This window comes from Homo sapiens, chromosome 12 (assembly GCF_000001405.40).
Source record: "Homo sapiens chromosome 12, GRCh38.p14 Primary Assembly".
In the NCBI taxonomy this organism is placed as follows: Eukaryota; Metazoa; Chordata; class Mammalia; order Primates; family Hominidae; genus Homo; species Homo sapiens.
Window position 1 is genome coordinate 122,771,491 of NC_000012.12, and position 19,987 is coordinate 122,791,477.

General features: G+C 44.9%; 1 protein-coding gene across 7 annotated transcripts in view, besides 6 other annotated features; it reads left to right on the plus strand.

Moving 5' to 3' along the window:
- Positions 2,920 to 3,129: a silencer, noted in NCBI's record as "silent region_5021". NCBI's record gives its function as "represses an Ori minimal core promoter by ATAC-STARR-seq in GM12878 lymphoblastoid cells {active_cell/tissue: GM12878}" and the evidence as "EXISTENCE:reporter gene assay evidence [ECO:0000049][PMID:35858748]".
- The window catches only part of CCDC62 (coiled-coil domain containing 62), a 52,957-nt gene continuing 36,051 nt past the window's right edge, over positions 3,082 to 19,987 (plus strand). For all 7 annotated transcript variants that reach the window (XR_944784.2, NR_027918.3, NM_201435.5 and 4 more), the window contains exons 1-5: positions 3,082 to 3,216; positions 6,001 to 6,193; positions 9,674 to 9,840; positions 14,229 to 14,330; positions 17,268 to 17,439. Coding sequence is in view for 5 of the 7 variants with exons in the window: in NM_201435.5 (NP_958843.2) it covers positions 3,181 to 3,216; positions 6,001 to 6,193; positions 9,674 to 9,840; positions 14,229 to 14,330; positions 17,268 to 17,439 (670 nt within the window). In the remaining 2 variants the exon portion in view is untranslated. The remainder of the gene's footprint in view (positions 3,217 to 6,000; positions 6,194 to 9,673; positions 9,841 to 14,228; positions 14,331 to 17,267; positions 17,440 to 19,987) is intronic.
- Positions 3,229 to 3,922: an enhancer, noted in NCBI's record as "H3K27ac-H3K4me1 hESC enhancer chr12:123259266-123259959 (GRCh37/hg19 assembly coordinates)". NCBI's record gives its function as "activates a minimal SCP1, AML or CMV promoter by ChIP-STARR-seq in primed H9 embryonic stem cells {active_cell/tissue: H9 hESC(primed)}" and the evidence as "EXISTENCE:reporter gene assay evidence [ECO:0000049][PMID:30033119]".
- Positions 3,229 to 3,946: a biological region, named in NCBI's record as "Sharpr-MPRA regulatory region 13845".
- Positions 3,310 to 3,449: an enhancer, noted in NCBI's record as "active region_7237". NCBI's record gives its function as "activates an Ori minimal core promoter by ATAC-STARR-seq in GM12878 lymphoblastoid cells {active_cell/tissue: GM12878}" and the evidence as "EXISTENCE:reporter gene assay evidence [ECO:0000049][PMID:35858748]".
- Positions 3,652 to 3,946: a silencer, noted in NCBI's record as "tiled region #13845; K562 Repressive non-DNase unmatched - State 18:Pol2". NCBI's record gives its function as "represses a minimal TATA promoter and a strong SV40 promoter by Sharpr-MPRA in K562 cells {active_cell/tissue: K562}" and the evidence as "EXISTENCE:reporter gene assay evidence [ECO:0000049][PMID:27701403]".
- Positions 18,413 to 18,966: an enhancer, noted in NCBI's record as "H3K27ac hESC enhancer chr12:123274450-123275003 (GRCh37/hg19 assembly coordinates)". NCBI's record gives its function as "activates a minimal SCP1, AML or CMV promoter by ChIP-STARR-seq in primed H9 embryonic stem cells {active_cell/tissue: H9 hESC(primed)}" and the evidence as "EXISTENCE:reporter gene assay evidence [ECO:0000049][PMID:30033119]".

Sequence of the window (19,987 nt, forward strand, 5' to 3'; positions counted from 1 at the left end):
CTTTAAGCAGCCTTATAAGAGATTTTCCATGATTAAGCTGGCAACTTTTAATGCAAATACTTTTTGCATATAGTTTGGTAAGTATTTCATTTTTTAAAAACAGATGCTGACAGTAAGTGATTTTAAACTTTTTATTACTACATAAAAGCCAGTCTGTGGTAGCTTTCTCACTCTTAGTTTAAAAGTTGATAAATTACTGTTTTAAAGATGAATTTTACCTTTTAGTTCCCTGTTCTCATTATTTACTAAATTCCTTTACCTAGGAAATCAAATAGGGAGACTGGGAAAAGTTCATTCAGAACTTCAGTTTGGATTAGACTGTGTGAGTATAAAATCAGATGCAGTGTAATTCTTGTAGCTTTCACCTCTGTCATATTTTTAAAGTTATGTATTCTCTTTAATTTTTTTTGTTGTTGTTGTTTTAATGAAAACCTGTGGGGAGCGAAGGTAAAAACTTGAGATTTTTAATTTGTACCTTGCCATCATAATCCTCTTACTATACTCAGTTACTATTTATGAACCATAATCAAAATGAGCCTAATTTCTTACTATTCTAGATACACACAATTTTATTCATTTTTGAGACAGAGTCTCGCTCTGTTGCCCAGGCTGGAACGCAGTGGCATGATCACAGCTCACTGCAGCCTTGATCTCCCAGCCTCAAGTGATCCTCCCACTTCAGCTTCTGGAGTGGCTGAGACCACAGGCACATGCCACCATACCCAGCTAATTTTTAAATTTTTTATAGAGATGGGGGGTCTCCCTATGTTGTCCAGGCTGGTCTCAAACTCCTGAGCTCAAGCTATCCTCCCACCTCAGCCTCCCAAAGTGCTGGGATTACAGGTGTGAACCACCACACCCAGCCTGTACATGTATTTTTACTTGAGTGTCACACATGGTTGCCTGGTGAACAATGGCACTCGAGGACTTTCTAGAAAAATATCAAGTCTTAACAATGGTGAAACCTAAGAAACGTGAATTAAAACACTCCTCACTTCAAAAATTGACATTCAACCCACATTCCTTTACATCTCATCACCACCAACTTACTGCAGTCATCTACTGCTAGACTGTTTTTAGCAAATACCCACCCAGAATTTGCTTTGTTGATTTATTTATTTATTTTTATTTTTTTGCATTTCTGTAATGATCAGGGAAGTAGACCACCTTTTTGTATTTATTGGCTATTTGGTTTTGGGTTTTGGTGGTAGTGGTGGTTGGTGTTTTTTTGTTTTTTTTTTTTTTTGATACGGAGTGTCCCTCTATTGCCTAGGCTGGAGTGAGGTGGCGCAGTCTTGGCTCACTGTAACCTCCATCTCCTGCATTCAAGCGATTCTCCTGCCTCAGCCTTCCGAGTAGCTGGGACTATGGGTGCGCACCACCACACGTGGCTAGTTTTTGTTTGTTTGTTTGTTTGTTTGATTTTTAGTAGAGACAGGGTTTCGTTGTATTGGCTAGGCTGGTCTCAAACTTCTAATCTCATGATCCATCCTCCTCGGCCTCTCAAAGTGCTGGGATTACAGGCGTGAGCCACCACGTCTGGCCTGATTTTTGTTTTTTTGAGTCAAGGTCTCACTCTCGATCGGACTGGAATGCAGTGGCATGATCACAGCTCATTGGAGCCGCCATCTCCCAGCTCAAGTCAGCCTCGTGAGTAGCTGAGACCACAGGAGTGCACCACCACGCCCAGTTTAAAAAAAAATTTATTTTTTGGCCAGGTGCGGTAGCTCACACCTGTAATCCCAGCACTTTGGGAGGCTGAAGTGGGTGGGTCAACTGAGGTCAGGAGTTCGCGACCAGCCTGGCCAAGGTAGTGAAACCCATCTCTACTAAAAATACAACAAAGGTGGCGTGGTGGCGGGCACCTGTAATCCCAGCTACTCGGGAGGCTGAGGCAGGAGATTTGCTTGAGGCCAGAGGCAGAGTTTGCAGTGAGCCGAGATTGTGCCATTGCACTCCAGCTCAGGCAACAAGAGCCAGACTCCATCTCAAAAAAAAAAAAAAAAAAAGTTTTTTAGAGGTGGGTGTCACCATGTTGCTCAGGCTGGTCTCAAACTCCTGAACGCAACAGATCCTCCTACATTGGCCTCCCAAAGTGCTGGGGTTACAGGCCACTGCGCCCAGCTTTCTTGATTTTAAATTCTAAGACATTGCTTTGGTCTCCCAAACATGAGCCTATCAGTAAAGCTTCAAAATAAGAAATCTTAATTTTGTTTTTCCATTTTCAGATTGTATTTTTTGAACACAAGGGCATGTTTTGGCATTTCATATTCAACCAAAAAGTAAAGTTGAAACCCTGTAAGACCGACCGTATTTAGTAATTGTGTTGCTGTCTGATGGGTTAAGCATTCAGGGATGGGCAGCCGGGGCTGAAGTGTGATAAGCCTTATTTTTTCCTAGTCCCGTTCCCACATCTTAGGAAGAGTGAAAGGGGGATGAAGAGGTGACTATGGAAGAACAGGTGAAAAAGCTTAGATTCAACCCAGAATATCGTAGATTTTGTCATGACAAAGTACCGTGGTTCTCCTCATTGCTTTTCAGGAGCTCCCAAGAGTAAATTTCCCCCTCTTCATCTGTGATTCTTGGTTTAAAGTATCAAAGGTGCTAGGGTAGCCCGCAACTGTTATCCCCGAGGGCTGGGCTCTGCCTCCACGCATTCGAGTGTCAGGTCCTGTTCTGGGAGCCAGCTACACAGGAGCGAGCACGGCCGAGCTCACGGTTATTAGGGGGAAGATGGAAGATAGGGAAGTGAGCAACTCAAATGTCATAAACCAGAGTGCTGGGGGCGGCGCAGCAGCCTTTATTGACTTCTTCATTCTCTGGGTAGTGGTGAACAGCCGGTTCTTTCAGGCCTTCCAGCGCCGGAGCCTCGGGCGTGGGCAAAAAGCGTCCATACGCAGCCTGAGCCACTTGGGAGCCCCCAGTTTCCGAGGCAGAAGAACAGTGCCCACCAGCGCAGCGGGGCTGCGGCCCGGAAACCCTGGCGGGGAGCCCCGAGCCCCGGCGGGCGCACGCCGCGTGGGCACCAGGCAGGCGGTTGGAGTACGGGGCGGGGGTCGGCCGAGGGCGCGGGGCCCCGGGGCTCCGGGCTCGCCCCCGCCGCTCGGGGCAGGCGCGCCGATGGCGTTTCTGAGGTGACGCCGCCCACACCGGGCTTCTCCGGGGGCGGAGGAAACACCTATGAACCCTCCGGCAGCCTTCCTTGCCGGGCGCCAGGTAAGCAGCGGTTCCGGGCGCGGCGGGGCGCCGCGGGAACGGTGCACATTGGTCGAAATCTATTGCTTCTCAAGAACGGTGTCTACTTAAAATGTGAAACAGGCCGGGCGCGGTGGCTCACGCCTGTAATCCCAGCGCTTTGGGAGGCGGAGGCGGGCGGATCACGAGGTCAGGAGATCGAGACCATCCTGGCTAACACAGTGAAACCCCGTCTCTACTAAAAATAAAAAAAAAAAAATTAGCCGGGCGTGGCGGCGGGCGCCTGTAATCCCAGCTACTCGGGAGGCTGAGGCAGGAGAATGGCGTGAACCCGGGAGGCAGAGCTTGCAGTGAGCCGAGATCGCGCCACTGCACTCCAGCCTGGGCGACAGAGCGAGACTCCGTCTCAAAAAAAAAAAAAAAAAAAAAAAGTGAAACAATACACTAGAGGAAAACGGCGTCACGACCGTTTCCTTAACCCAATAACACCTTGTTATTCAGCCCGGGCCACAGAGTAGCGCGTACCCGGTGCTTACTGTTTAAGGAGGACGATTGGCGTCTGGGGAGCTGCTTTCCCATTTACCTCTCAGGGTGTCCTTAATTTACACAACCTGGCGAGTAGAGGAAGGAGCTCTCACAACTCCACTGTACCAAAAAGTCTGGAAGTGGGCTTGCCCAAGGTTCGCGTCCATCAGTGTAAGACGACCTGCCTTTGTGTACTCGGCTTACTGCCTGTTTTCCTGGAGTGGAATATGTGCTCCTTGCCTGGAGGTCTGTGGCCCAGCCACTGGCGCTCAATAAATTATTTGTTGAGTGCATGAATGAAGGGCTAACCCAACACTGGAATTCAAGCCTTGGGACTTGAAATCCCTTGACTCCAAATTCCATTTTCCTTGTTAAGACTAGCAACTGTAATTTATTCATCATTCTTATTTATTTATTTTTGAGACAGGGTCTGGCTCTGTCCCCAGGGCTGGAGTACAGTGACGCAATGTCGGCTTACTGCAGCCTCTGCTTCCCGAGTTCAAGCAATCCTCCCGCCTCAGCCTCCCAAATAGCTGGGACTACAGGCTCCCACCACCATGCCGAGCTAATTTTTGTGTTTTTAGTAGAGACAGGGTTTCGCCATGTTGGCCAGGCTGGTCTCGAACTCCCGACCTCAGGTGATCTGCCCACCTCGGCCTTCCAAAGTGCTGGGATTACAGGCGTGAGCCACTGAGCCCAACCTCATTATTCTTGTTTATTTACAAATCTTACTTTTCAAAAAGCAGTAAGGAGGTACAAAGGGCCTCTGTTGAACCTTTAATTACTGTCTTTAAGGTGGAACTCTATTAAAGTAACACTTTTAGTTGTTTATTTCATAGGCAGGGACAGCACCATGATTTGAAATGTGGTTTACAGTGTTAATGAGAGCTGATGTTTGTTGAGTGATTACAACGGGCCAGGCTTTGTGCTCAGTACTTTACAGAGTTTGTCTTGTTTAATCTTCACCACTCCAAGATGTTAAAATGCAGTTGCTATCGTTTTACAGGTGAGGAAACTAATGCTTAGAGAAGTTAAGTAACTTGCCCAAGGTTATGTAGCCACTAAGTGGCTAATTCTGGGATCACAATTTGGTCAGGCCAACTTGTTAGATTTTAAAATGCTGTATACTTCAAAGAAATTATTGTATTAATAGATAATATTGTTAGATATAAAAATGGCATCATGGTTATATAGGAAATGTTCATTTTTAGAGATGCATTCTGAAGTATGTAAGGGTGAAATGGTATTTTTTAACCAATAATGAAAAGAAAAGGACATTGAAGCAGCCGCAGTGAAATCTCAATAATGGTAGAACCCAGGCACAGAGTATATGGGAGTTTATCGTACTATTGTCTTTGGGTACATGTGAAAGATTTCCTTACATAATTTATTTTTTAATGATGTATGTTGTATTTGGATCAGTTACAATATTAAATTGCCCTTAATAGATTGAGTATGTATAGATGCCTTAGATGTTGTAGTTGTCATGCATATTGAACACTGGAAGACTTAATTTTCTTTTTATAGACTAAAATTCCCATTGTTTAGTAAGGATCATTTACATTTAAACAGTAACTATTTCGTGATTTTGTTTGGTTTTTTTTGATAGAGTTTTGCTCTTGTTGCCCAGGCTAGAGTGCAATGGCACGATCTCGGCTCACTGCAACCTCTGCCTCCAGGGTTCAAGCAGTTCTCCTGCCTCAGCCTCTTGAGTAGCTGGGATTACAGGCGCATGCCACCACACTGAGCTAATTTTTGTATTTTTAGTAGAGATGGGGTTTTGCCACGTTGGCCAGGCTGGTCTCGAACTCCTGACCTCAGGTGATCGGCCCACCTTGACCTCCCAAAATGCTGGAATTACAGGCGTGAGCCACCACGCCTGGCCACTATTTCATGTTTACCTGTACTTGGTTACTCAAATTGCTGGGGCAAGGTAGGGGATAATGTTATTGACTGGCAGAGAAAAGGGTTGTTGGCAAAGGGGGAGAAAAAGTGCAGAAATAGGTTTATTTGTTTACCCAGTGGGTTTTAGAAACAGTCCCACTTTTTAGGCATGGTACGTATGGCATGACAGAAAATTGTAGAGAGGCAGAGTGCATGGTAGATTTTAACTTGAACATGTTTTAAGTATACATAATCTTTTGCTGCCATGTTATTAAAACTTAATTGAACTACTTAGAATTGGCCGCAAAAGAAGATATACTTATTTGGAAAATGGACTTTGGCTGATTTGTTATTGATTTCATTCTATTTTGATGTGAAACCGCTTTCTATGTTTAGAACATCGGGTCAGAAGTTGAGATTTCCACTATCGAGAAACAACGGAAGGAGCTGCAGTTGCTCATTGGAGAATTAAAAGATCGAGATAAAGAGCTCAATGACATGGTTGCAGTGCACCAGCAACAGCTTCTTTCATGGGAAGAGGATCGGCAGAAAGTGTTGACACTGGAAGAACGTTGCAGCAAATTAGAAGGTCAGAAATACATTCAGGGACAACAGTTATGCACTTCTGTGTGCTAACACATTGATGGGCTCATAGGGAAGATAGAGAGGAAGTAAAGACTGCAATCCCTGTTGTCCTCAAGTTTAGGCTCATTGGAGACAGGAGGACTTTATGAACAGCCACAATGGGACAGACACACACAAATAAAGTAGGACAAGCAAAGTATTTCAGTATAGAAAGGGGGCTGGATGGAGCTCCAGTCAACATGGGGTGAGCGCCAGTGGTGAAGTTGAAGTTTTGAGCAAGAGTATGAATGAAGATGCCATATGACTAGCCATTTCTCTTAAACTAAACTGAAAGATTTTAGGCTTTTGGTATTGAACTTGATCTTAAGTTCCTAAAATGGTCATCTTTTAAAGTTATAGCTGTCCGGCCAGGCACAGTGGCTCACACCTGTAATTCCAGCACTTTGGCGGATCACTTGAGCTCTGGAACTAGAGACCAGCCTGGCCAACATGGTGAAACCCCATTTCTACTAAAAATACAAAAAGTTAACTGGGCATGGTGATGCACACCTGTAATCTCAGCTACTCGGGAGGCAGAGGCACGAGAATCGCTTGAACCCAGGAGGCGGAGGTTGCAGTGAGCCAAGATTGCGCCACTGCACTCCAGCCTGTGGGACAGAACAAGACCCTGTCCCAAAAAAAAAAAAAAAAAATTATAGCTGTCTCAAAAATGGTTGCAAAAAGTTTATTTGACACCATATTTTAATTCTGTCATTCCTTTAGTGCTGCCCTAAATCTGAATGTTCCATTGACTCTAGATTGTTAGTAGAATGCATTAGAGGAGAAAACACTAGATCTGTATAATAGAAAGATAACCTTTTTTTACTTAACATTACTCAAAGGATTCTGTAAATGTGACAATCCAAATCTGTCATTTTTGGTGGGGTGCGGTGGCTCATGCCTGTAATCCCAGCACTTTGGGAGGCTGAGGCAGGCGGATCACTTGAGGTCAGGAGTTCAATACCAGCCCAGCCAACATGGTGTACCTCGTCTCTACTAGAAATACAAAAATTAGCGGGGCATGGTGGTGGGCGCCTGTAGTCCCAGCTACTCAGGAGGCTGAGGCAGGAGAATTGCTTGAACCTGGGAGGTGGAGGTTGCAGTGAGCCAAGATTGCGCCACTGCACTCCATCCTGGGCGACAGAGCGAGACTCCGTCAAAACAAAGAAAGAAACAAACAAAAAACCCAAATATATGATTTTTTCGTTTCTTTGATGACCATCTGATTTTACTCTGACCACACCCACACACGTATATACACACAGTGTTTAAAATGGTTGCTCATTAAATGCAGTATAACATCTTATAGCTCTTATATAGACATGTTAAAGAACAAAGATAACACATATAACATATATAACCCACATTATATGTAGCCATCAGTATTTGATTTTAAAATGAGCAAGATTTGAATAGGCACCTCATGGAAAGAGGAAAATTGAATGGCCAATAAATATATTAAAAGTTTCCTGTTCTCATTAGTAGTTAGGGAAATGCAAATGAAAACCAAATTGAGATACTATTTTACCTTTACCAGCCTGGCAGAAATTATCAGGTGTTGGTAAAGTATGGCACCAAGGGAAAGCTGAGACGCTGCTGGTGGGAGTCAGTTGTCACTGCTAGTGTGCAAAATCATTTGGCAGCATCTAGTGAAGCTGAAGGTGTGCATATCCTACAGCCCAGCAAAGCCACTTCTAGGAATATTCTCACCCTTTAATAGACACATGAATCACCTAAGGGTCTTGTTAAAATTTAGATTCTGATACAATAGGTCTGGGGCCCAAGGGTCTGCATTTCTAACAGGCATCCTAGGCGATGCCACTGCCGCTGCTGGTCCAGGGACCACATTTTGAGAAGCAAGGCTCTCAAGAAACTCTTGAAAATATGCACCCAGATGCATGTAAAAAGGCCTGGCGCTGTGGCTCACATCTGTAATCCTAGCACTTTGGGAGGCCGAGTCAGGCGAATCACCTGAGGTCAAGGGTTCGAGGCCAACCTGGCCAACATGGTGAAACCCTGTCTCTACTAAAAATACAAAAATTAGCAGGGTGTGCTGGCTCATGCCTGTAATCCCAGCTACTTGGGAGGCTAAGGCAGAAGAATTGCTTGAACTTGGGAGGTGGAGGTTGCAGTGAGCTGAGATCACACCACTGCACTCCAGCCTGGGCTACAGAGCGAGACTCTGTCTCAAAAAAAAAAAAAAAAAAAAAAAAAGATGCATGTAAAAGAATATTCAGAGCAGCATTGTTTATCATAGCTGCAAAGTGGAAATAACCTAAATGACCATCAATATTAGAAATAAGCTTTGGTAGGCCAGGTACGGTGGCTCACGCCTGTAATCCCAGCACTTTGGGAGGCTGAGGAGGATGAATCATGGGGTCAGGAGATCAAGACCATCCTGGCCAATATGGTGAAACCCCATCTCTACTAAAAATACAAAAAAATAGCCAGACATGGTGGTGCTCGCCCGTAATCCCAGCTACTTGGGAGGCTGAGGCAGAAGAATCGCTTGAACCCAGGAGGTGGAGGTTGCAGTAAGCCGAGATCGTGCCGTTGCCCTCCAGCCTGGGCAACAGAGGGAGGCTCCGTCTCAACGAAAAAAAAAAAAAAGAAGGCCGGGCATGGTGGCTCACGCCTGTAATCCCAGCACTTTGGGAGGCCGAGGTGGGCTGATCACGAGGTCAGGAGATCAAGACCATCCTGGCTAACACGGTGAAACCCCGTCTCTACTAAAAATACAAAAAAATTAGCCAGGCGTGGTGGCAGGCACCTGTAGTCCCAGCTACTCGGGAGGCTGAGGCAGGAGAATGGCGTGAACCCAGGAGGCAGAGCTTGCAGTGAGCCGAGATCGCACCACTGCACTCCAGCCTGGACAACAGAGCAAGACTCTGTCTCAAAAATAAAATAAAATAAAATAAAATAAAATAAAATAAAATAAAATAAAATAAAATAAAAAATAGAAATAAGCTTTGGCGTAATCATTCAGTGGAATATTACCTAGCAATGTTAGTGCACAAACACAAGTTACACACAACTGAGTGAATCTCAGAATCATTATCTTAAGCAAAAAAAGCAAACAGAAGAATTGTCAGAATATGATTCCATTTTTATATGGTTCAAATTAAGCTATAATTTTGAGGCATGCGGTCACTGGTAAAACTGTAATGGAAAGCAAGGAAGTGATTACTCTAAGATCAGGGTCATGGTTGGGAACGCGGAAACTGGAGTGATTATGTTCGGGAAGTGACCTCCAGAGGCTTCCAATTGCTCACAGTTCTGTTTCTTGATTAGGTGTGATATTGTGCATTTCATAATAAAAGGTTTTAAAAGAAGATTGTCTTTTTAAAAATTCTCTACCACATTTTTACCTTTTAACCACCCATTTTGAAAATAATGCCTTTTAAGCTGAAGGTGTGACTACAAATTATTGATGAACTTCCCTCAGGTGAACTACATAAAAGAACTGAAATAATCAGGTCACTCACGAAGAAGGTAAAAGCTCTTGAATCCAATCAAATGGAATGCCAAACAGCTCTCCAAAAGACCCAACTACAGCTTCAGGAAATGGCTCAAAAGGCAACGCATTCTTCTCTTCTCTCTGAAGACCTTGAGGTTGGGATTAGTTTTTGATAAGCTTCACTAGTCCAAATTCCCTTTGTGTTTCAGTTATTGAAAAATTAGATTTGACCGGGCACGGTGGCTCACTCCTGTAATGCCAACACTTTGGGAGGCCGAGGCAGGTGGATCACCTGAGGTCAGGAGTTCGAGACCAGCCTGGCCAGCGTGGAGAAACCCCATCTCTACTAAAAATACAAAATTAGCCGGGCGTGGTGGCACACGCCTGTAGTCCCAGCTACTCAGGAGGCTGAGGCAGGAGAATCGTTTGAACCCGGGAGGTGGAGGTTGCGGTGAGCCAAGATCGCGCCATTGCACTCCAGTCCGGGCAACAAGAGCGAAACTCTGTCTCAAAAAAAAAAAGAAAAAAGAAAAATTAGATTTAAATGTTTCATTAAAAATGCATGTGAGGCTGGGCACAGTGGCTTGGTGGCTCATGCCTGTTATCCCAGCTCTTTGTTTGGGAGGCTGAGGTGGGAGGATTGCTTGAGCCCAGGAATTCACGACCAGGCTTGGCAACATGGCAAATGCCTGTCTCTATAAAAAGAAGAAATACAAAAATGAGCTGGGTGTGGGGGTGCACTGCTGTGGTCCCAGCTACTTGGGAGGCTGAGGCAGGAGGATCACTTGAGCCCAGGAGGTCAAGGCTGCAGTAAGCTGTGATTGTGCCACTACACCCCAGCCTGGGTGACAAAAAAAAAAAAAAAAAAGCGTATGTAAGCCAAGCACAGTGGTGTACGCCTGTAGTCCCAGCCTCTGGGGAGGCTGAGGCAGAAACATTGCTTGGGCCCAGGAGTCCAAGTCCAGCCTGGGCAACATAGTGAGACCTCATCTCAACAAAAAACAACAACAGCAAGCAACCAATGCAAAAATGCATACGTGTGTGTACGAAGGTATCTACACTCATCCACCCCTTGTAGTTTTGTGTTTCTCCTACAGTTTTGGTTAGCTGCACGGCATTATCCTGTCTTAGAGATTGAGCTTCAGTACAACGCTTTTTAACCGTTATGCCATTTGGTTTAGTAGCATCTACCATTTAATCAACAATGAGTTATTTTAGAAAGCTTTCCTCAAAGATGAGAGGGTATAATCAAGTTTTGGTAGCCTCAATGATGTTTTCTAAATTATTGTGTGTTTTTTTTGAGATGGAGTTTCACTCTTGTTGCCCAGGCTGAAGTGCAATGGCACGATCTCGGCTCACCATAACCTCTGCCTCCTGGGTTCAAACAATTCTCTTGCCTCACTCCCCCGAGTAGCTGGGATTACAGGCATGCACCACTATGCCCAGCTAATTTTGTATTTTTAGTAGAGACGGAGTTTCTCCATGTTGGCCAGGCTGGTCTCCAACGCCCGACCTCAGGTGATCCGCCCGCCTCAGCCTCCCAAAGTGCTGGGATTACAGGTGTGAGCCACTGTGCCCAGCCAATTATTGTGTCTTATCTCATAATGTTAGTGGCATATTGGGAATAAAAACTGTAAGACTGGTTTTTTGAGCCCGGCATGGTGGCTCACACCTATAATCCCAGCACTTTGGGAGGCCGAGGTGGGCGGTGACTTGAGGTCCAAAGTCTGAGATCAGCCTGGCCAACATGGTGAAACCCCGTCTCTACTAAAAATTCAAAAATTAACCAGGTGTGGTGGTGGGCACCTGTAGTCCCAACTACTCAGGAGGCTGAGGTAGGAGAGTCAATTGAACCTGAGAGGCAGAGGTTGCAGTGAGCCGAGATCGCACCACTGCACTCCAGCCTGGGGGAAAGAGCGAGACTCCTTGTCAAAAAAAAAGATGGATTTTTTTGGTTTTCTCTTCTAACTGGTCAGTCATCAGATATTTTTTGAGTTCATGCTTATAAGAGGTGCAGAAAGCCAGCTTGTTTATTTGTTATATCCTTCATTCTTTTTTTTTTTTTTTCCTGAGACGGAGTCTCGTTCTGTCGCCCAGGCTGGAGTGCAGTGGTGCCACCTCGGCTCACTGCAAGCTCCGCCTCCCGGGTTCACACTATTCTCCTGCCTCAGCCTCCCTAGTAGCTGGGACTACAGGCGCCCGCCACCACGCCCGGCTAATTTTTTGTATTTTAGTAGAGACGGGGTTTCACCGTGTTAGCCAGGATGGTTTCGATCTCCTGACCTCGTGATCTGCCCGCCTCGGCCTCCCAAAGTGCTGGGATTACAGGTGTGAGCCACCGCGCCTGGCCCCATTCTTTTATTTCTTAGTGATATTTCATATACGTCTTGGTAATATAATGAGTCTTTATTCATAATAGTATAGATTTTTATTTTATGGTTTTTAAAAGAATACTATTCTAGATAGTTTCTAGCTATAAAATAAGTAAAAACTATTCTAGAATATCTACTGATTATGTTGCATGAAAAAGTGGAAGAGATCTTTTTTAACTAATACACTTTATTTATTTAGTGCATTTTTAGGTTCACAGCAAAATTGAGCAGAAAGTAGAGAGAGTTCTCATACACACTCTGTATCCACACACCCAGCCTTCCCCACGATCGACCTCCACACCGGGGTGGTGCATTTCTTATAATTGGTGAATCTTCATGGATACCTCATTGTCACCTAAAGATTACAGTTAACATTAGGGGTCACTCTTTGTGTTTACATTCTATGGGGTTTTGACAGATGTGTAATGACACATATCCTCTACTATATTATAGTATGTACAGAATAGTTTCACTGTCCTAAAAATCCTCTGTGATCTACCCTTCATCCCTTCCTCCCCCTCACCCCTGGTCACACGAATCTTTTTACCGCCTCCATAGTTTTGCCTTTTCCACAATGTCATATGCTTGGAATCCTACAGTATATAGCCTTTTCAGATTGCCTTTTTTCACTTAGTAACACACATTTAAATTTCCTCCTAAAGATATCTTTTTAAAAGTCTAAATAGGCTGGGAGGCCGGGCGCGGTGGCTCATGCCTGTAATCCCAGTACCTTGGGAGGCCAAGGCGGGTGGATCACGAGGTCAGGAGTTCGAGACCAGCCTGACCAACATGGTGAAACCCCATCTCTACTAAAAATACAAAAATCAGCTGGGCATGGTGGCACGTGCCTGTAATCCCAGCTACTTGGGAGGCTGAGGCAGGAGAATCACTTGAACCCAGGAGGCAGAGGTTGTAGTGAGCCAAGACCACGCCACTGCACTCCAGCCTGGCAACAGAGCGAGACTCCGTCTCAAAAATAATGATAATAATAATAATAATTAGGCTGGGTGCAGTGGCTGATGCCTGTAATCTTAGCACTTTGGGAGGCCAAGGTGGGAGGATCGCTTAAGGCCAGGAGTTCAAGACCAGCCTGGGCAACATAGCGAGACCCTCTCTACAAAAAATACAAAAATAAAAATTAACTGGGCATAATGGTGAGAACCTGTAGTCCCAGCTACTCGGGACACTGAGGTGGGAGGACTGCTTGAGCCCAGGAGTTCAAGGTTACTATGAGCTATGAGTGCACCACTGCACTCCAGCCTGGGTGACAGAGTGAGGTCCTATCTCTTTAAAACAAAAACAAAAACAAAAGGCCAGGTGCAGTGGCTCGCCTGTAATCCCAGCACTTTGGGAGGTCAAGGCGGGCAGATCACCCGAAGTCAAGAGTTCGAGACCAGCCCGGCCAACGTGGCGAAACCCTGTTTCTACTAAAAATACAAAAATTAGCCAGGCGTAGTGTTGTGTGCCTGTAATCCCAGCTACTTCAGAGGCTGAAGCAGGAGAATCACTTGAATCCAGGAGGCAGAGGTTGCAGTGAGCCGAGGTCATCCCACCACTGCACTCCAGCCTGGGCGACAGAGTGAGACTCAGTCTCAAAAAATAAAAAGCCTGATGGTTATTTTTCTCAACTAGTAAATAGATTGTATACATAATAATTATATCCGACATAGCACTATGTGTTTTTTTAAATAATTGTTGAGTAGGAATACCCCAGTATGAAGTTCTTTCGACAAAGAATATTTTTTAAATTCACACAATTCACTAATGCTACTTTATTTCAACAAAGGAAATCTCTTACTAATACAGTTCTCATTCATTCATTTTCTTGCCTCTTCCCAACCTAAAATTACACATAAAAGATACTAGGAAATAGACATGTTTACAAGCATCACCAACATAATTCAATAGGGCAAATACAAGTACTGAGAGGATGGTAGAATTAATAGAGAAATATATATTTGTATTCCTTTTTGATGACTGCTTTCTTAGGCCACTTCATTACTAAAACAATGTAGGCTTTATTAGCCCACTCCATTACCAACTCTTTTTTGTTACTAACGAGTTAAACAAGGAAAAAACAAAATAGAGAAGTAAGCGCAGATTGTGGCTAGCAAGAGTAGTGAAAGCTTTAAAAGGACTCAAGCAGTATCATCTGTGTTGTTTTCTTGTAGGCTAGAAACGAAACTCTCAGCAACACGTTAGTGGAACTTTCTGCCCAGGTAGGACAGCTACAAGCTCGAGAACAAGCTCTTACGACAATGATAAAGCTAAAGGTAATCAAAAATAAGAATTCCTCCATTTGCCAGAGTGCTTGGTAGTTATATCCATATTCATTATCTTACCTAAGTCGCTAGGATCCCAGAAATGTGAAGCTACCAACGTTGCTCTTGTTTTTTAAAACGCCCATTTAGAAATGAGGGAAACAAGTTTAAAATGATGTTCCCAAGGCATGAAGAAAGGAGGCAGGACTCTGCTTCTGGTCTTCTGTCTCCAAGGCCCATTCTGTGGGCTGGCAGGTCTGAATTAACTTGTTTTCTCCCCGGGTATCCATTATTAGGTCTCATAGAGTTATGGGCCATTAGATTGCTTGAGAGGTTTTTTTTGTTTTGTTTTGTTTTGAGACGGAGTCTCGCTCTGTGGCCCAGGCTGGAGTGCAGTGGCTCCGTCTCAGCTCGCTGCAAGCTCCGCCTCCCAGGTTCACGCCATTCTCCTGCCTCAGCCTCTTGAGTAGCTGGGACTACAGGCGCCCGCCACCACACCCGGCTAATTTTTTTGTATTTTTAGTAGAGACGGGGTTTCACCGTGTTAGCCAGGATGGTCTCGATCTCCTGACCTCGTGATCCGCCCGCCTCGGCCTCCCAAAGTGCTGGGATTACAGGCGTGAGCCACCGCGCTCAGCCAGAGGTTTTTTTAATGGAGAGAAAAACCATCTGCAATCAAGCAGTTGATGTAGTCACTAACATGCAATATACAACGATACACACTCTCCTGCTGTTACACATGTCATTGACAATTGGTATTTAAGGGAACAATGTTGGTATAATGAAATGCTCACGCTAATAAATATGTGATTTTTCTCAGCACATTGTTTTCAAGTGATTGGGGCAAGTGCTGTTAAAATTAAAGAGAAAGGCCGGGCACGGTGGCTCACGCCTGTAATCCCAGCACTTTGGGAGGCCGAGGCGGGCAGATCACGAGGTCAGGAGATCGAGACCATCCTGGCTAACACGGTGAAACCCCGTCTCTACTAAAAATACAAAAAATTCCCCGGGCGAGGTGGCGGGCGCCTGTAGTCCCAGCTACTCGGGAGGCTGAGGCAGGAAAATGGCATGAACCTGGGAGGCGGAGCTTGCAGTGAGCCGAAATCGCGCCACTGCACTCCAGCCTGGGTGACAGCGAGACTCCGTCTCAAAAAAAAATTAAATTAAATTAAAGAGAAAATATTAAAATCTACAGTCATGTCTTTAGTCAAGTAGCAGACAGTTTAGTGGCTTCAACAACCTCTCTGGTTTCCATCATAGCAAACTCTGGCAAAGCTATAGGTATGTCTGAAGGTGCTGCCAAGGCATTTCCCCACCATTAAAACAGTGGGTGCGTTAGGAAGGCTGTGCTCCTGGAGGCCGGGTGCCGTGGCTCATGCCTATAATCCCAGCACTTTGGGAAGCTGAGGTGGGTGGATCGCTTGAGGTCAGGAGTTTGAGACTAGCCTAGCCAACATGGTGAAACCCCTGTCTTTACTAAAAATACAAAAAAATTAGCCGGGCATGGTGGCACACGCCTGTAATGCCAGCTACTCTGGAGGCTGGGGTGGGAGGATCCCCGGAAGCCGGGAGGTGGAGGTTGCAGTGAGCTGAGATTGCACCACTGCACTCCAGCTTGGGCGACAGAGCAAGACTCTGTCTCAAAAAAAAAAAAAAAAGAAGGTCGGTCGTGGTGGCTCACACCTGTAATCCCTACACTTTGGGAGGCTGAGCCAGGCAGATCACAAGGCCAAGAGATTGAGACCATCCTGGCTAACATGGTGAAACCTCATCTATTTTTAAAAATACAAAAATTAGCTGGGCATGATGGCACACGCCTGTAGTCCCAGCTACTCAGGAGGCTGAGGCAGGAGAATTGCTTGAACCCAGGAGGCAGAGGTTGTGGTAAGCCGAGATCACGCCACTGCACTCCAGCCTGGTGACAGAGCGAGACTTCATCTGGAAAAAAAAAAAAAAGGCTGTGTTTTCCTAGTCTTAGAGATTTTATTTGATGAAAATGGTTTCCATTAGAAGCAGATGCCCTCCAGGACATCCTTATCAAAGGAGCAAGTAGGAATCCCAGGTTTAAGGCTGAAAGGGATTGACTGTCGTGGGTGTCCTGGTGTTAATGGAACTGTGTTCCTGTACTTATTAGAACGGTTATTTTTTGCTACTGACCTGGTCACAAAGTTCCATGGGTTTTTGCATGGCCTGCCCCAACCCTATTATTCTATAAGTCCTAGTGTGAGATGTGCAGACAATGTGATTTTTCAGGAGTGCATTTATGATGCTGTAGCAGAAATGTTTAGACTTCAGTAGGGGTAAAACCTCTTAATAACAGTTATTCCAGGTGAGTGGGGGAGGGATAGAACTTTTACTTATTTTTATACTTTTAGGTGTTGTTTGAGTTGCTTTTCAAGAAGCAGATACCTTTTTTGGTAACTAAAACTGCCTCAACAATTAAGAGATTCTAATTTGGGAGATTTGGAATGATGTTGTTGTGGAGTCTGTCATGTTAACAAGCTGGAAAATGGGAGGGAATGATGGGCCATTAGACTTACCTGTATAATCCAGAGGACGATTTTCCCATCCAGGGGCCACCCACCCTCTTGCTGCTATTATAGTTTCTTAGGTAATGGAATGGTCTGGCTCTAACTTTTTGAGAGAGAGTAAGGGGTAGTGGTTCAGTACATAGTGTCTGAGGCAGCCAGCTAGGTTCAAATGGTGGCTCCACCACTAACTAGCTGTGTAACCGTGGGCAAGGAACGCAGCCTTTCTGTTGACTCATCTGTCACTTGGCAAGAACAATAGTACCACCCTCATAGAGTTACTGTAAAGATTAAATGAATTCATATGCGAAAAATGCTTAGAGTGGAACCTGGCACACGATAAGATCTTAGTGTTATCTTTTCTTCTTGGTTAATTGGAATTTAAGAATCTAGGATAACCATTTTCAAATTTGGTTTTTAGGACAAAGATATTATTGAGGCAGTTAATCACATTGCAGATTGTTCGGGTAAATTTAAAATGCTAGAGCATGCCCTACGTGATGCCAAGATGGCGGAGACTTGTATTGTGAAAGAAAAGCAAGATTATAAGCAGAAATTGAAGGCACTTAAGATTGAAGTCAACAAACTAAAAGGTAAGGAAGAGACCTACATTTAAGATACAAATGTATTATCTTGGGAATATAGTTTTTCATCTGGGTTCACTTAATCTTATGCTTGAGAGTAGATCAATTCCTGGCCTTAGACCCTAACGTGAAATATCCATTTCATTTATATAGGATTATGCTGCAATTTGTGTCTTATAAGATATATAACAGAGTTGGGGAAAACTGCAGAATGTATCATATTTTAAAGTAATCCTGCCTTAGTTGAGGTGGCTGTACCATTAGCTATCGCTAATACATGCTTTGTGGCAGACAACATCAGTATCTCAGTGGCAGACAGTCGTAGCATTTATTAAACCCACATGTCTAGAGGCAAATGGGGGAGTTGGCTGACTGTGGTTGGGCCTCACTGAGCTTCCCATCTGGGCAGTTTTGGCTCACACATTTCATCGTCTTGCTATCAGGCTAGCCTGGGCATTTCTTCCCATGGTGAGGGCAGAAACTTCTGATTCTGAAATTAGGAATTTTTATTTTTGCCGATTTATTTATTTTCGACAGAATCTCACTCTGTCACCCAGGCTGGAGTGCGGTGGTGCAATCTTGGTTCACCACTGCCTCCACCTCCTGGGTTCAAGCTATTCTCCTGTCTCAGCTTCCCGAGTAGCTGGGATTACAGGCACCTACCACCATGCCTGGCTAATTTTTGGATGTTTAGTAGAGACAGAGTTTTGCCATGTTGGCCAGACTAGTCTGGAACTCCCGACCTCAGGTGAATCCCTCTGCCTTGGCCTCCCAAAGTGCTGAGATCTACAGGCGTGAGCCAACACACCCAGCCGATCTTTGCTGATTTAACTTAAAAGATTCAGCATTCAAAAATGTTGTCCTTATGATGCCTTGACCTATGGTTAGCCATAGGTCTTATCTCCATTTGTAGCTTCAGCTAAAACCATAATCGTATTATCATCCCCTTGACAGCAGGAACAGACTCTGCTTCTCTTTTTCAGTGTACTGTTAATAGCATGGCACAAGGGCTACACTCTAGGTATTTGGTATTTATTGAATGTTTATATACACCGAGGTAAAATATTCAAGTAGAAAGAAGTCTGTTCTGTCAATATTTATATACTAAAAACATTTTATAAATTCAATATTAAAACTTTTTTTTTTTTGAGATAGTGTCTTGCTCTGCTGCCCAGGCTGGAGTGCAATGGCGTGATCTCAGCTCACTGCAACCTCCACCTCCTGGGTTCAAGCAATTCTCCTGCCTCAGCCTCCTGAGTAGCTGGGATTACAGGTGGGTGCCACCATGCCCGGCTAATTTTTGTATTTTTAGTAGAGACAGGGTTTCATCATGTTGGTCAGGCTGGTCTCAAACTCCTGAGCTTGTGATCCACCTGCCTCAGCCTCCCAAAAGTGCTGGGATTACAGGCATGAGCCACCACACCCAGCTTAAAACTTTTTTTTTAGAAAAGAAAAATAGTGGCTGGGCATGATGGCTCACATCTGTAATCCTAGCACTTTGGGAGGCCAAAGCAGGCAGATTGCTTGAGGCCAGGACTTCAAGAAGACCAGCCTGGATAACATGGCAGAACCCTGTCTCTACAAAAAATTAGCCAGGCATGGTGGTGTGATCCTGTAGTCCCAGCTACTCGAGAGGCAAAGTGAAAGGATTTCTTGATCCCAGGAGGTGGAGGTTGCAGTGAGCCAAGATTGGCCACTACACTTCAGCCTGGGCAACAGAGCAAGATCCTGCCTCAAAAAAATAAAAAAAAAGAAGAGGAATTTTTATAGAGCTCAATCTCCAGCCCTCCCTCCCCTTCCTGGAGGTCCACAAGTGGGACTGCAGGTTCCAGCCCTGTCTTCACTTGGTGTTTCTGGTGGCTGTCTGCATCCTGAGGCCACGTAGGAGCTCCACCCTGAGTCACCTCGTTAGCATGTAGTCTGGTGTAATCAACTGACTCTTCATGAATGACAAAAGATGCTTCTGTCACTTAGGAAATTCCACAAGTTTTAGGAGCTCTGTTCTCCAGGAACAGAGGACAAAAACCACATCTATTTCTTCTTATACCACAGACATACTCAAGGAACAGAAGGAAAGGAGGGAACGGCGGTGGGGAGATGGGCAGGTCAGGTCATGCTGGGCTCTGCAGTTTGTGGTAATGGATTTGGATTTCATCCTCAGTGCAGTAGCAAGGCTTCTCACTGAGAAATGACACGAGCAGATTTTTATTTTTAGTTTTATTTATTTATTTATTTTTGAGACAGAATTTCACTCTTGTCGCCCAGGCTGGAGTGCAATGGCGCGATCTCAGCTCACTGCAACCCCCGCCTGCCTCTCAAGCAATTCTCCTGCCTCAGCCTTCTGAGTAGCTGGGATTACAGTCGCCCACCACCACACCCAGCTAATTTTTGTATTTTTAGTAGAGACGGGGTTTTACCAGGTTGGCCAGGCTGGTTTCGAACTCCTGACCTCAGGTGATCCACCCGCCTCAGCCTCCCAAAGTGTTGGGATTACAGGTGTGAGCCACTGCACTTGGCCTTTATTTTTATTTTACTTTACTTTTTTTTGAGATGGAGT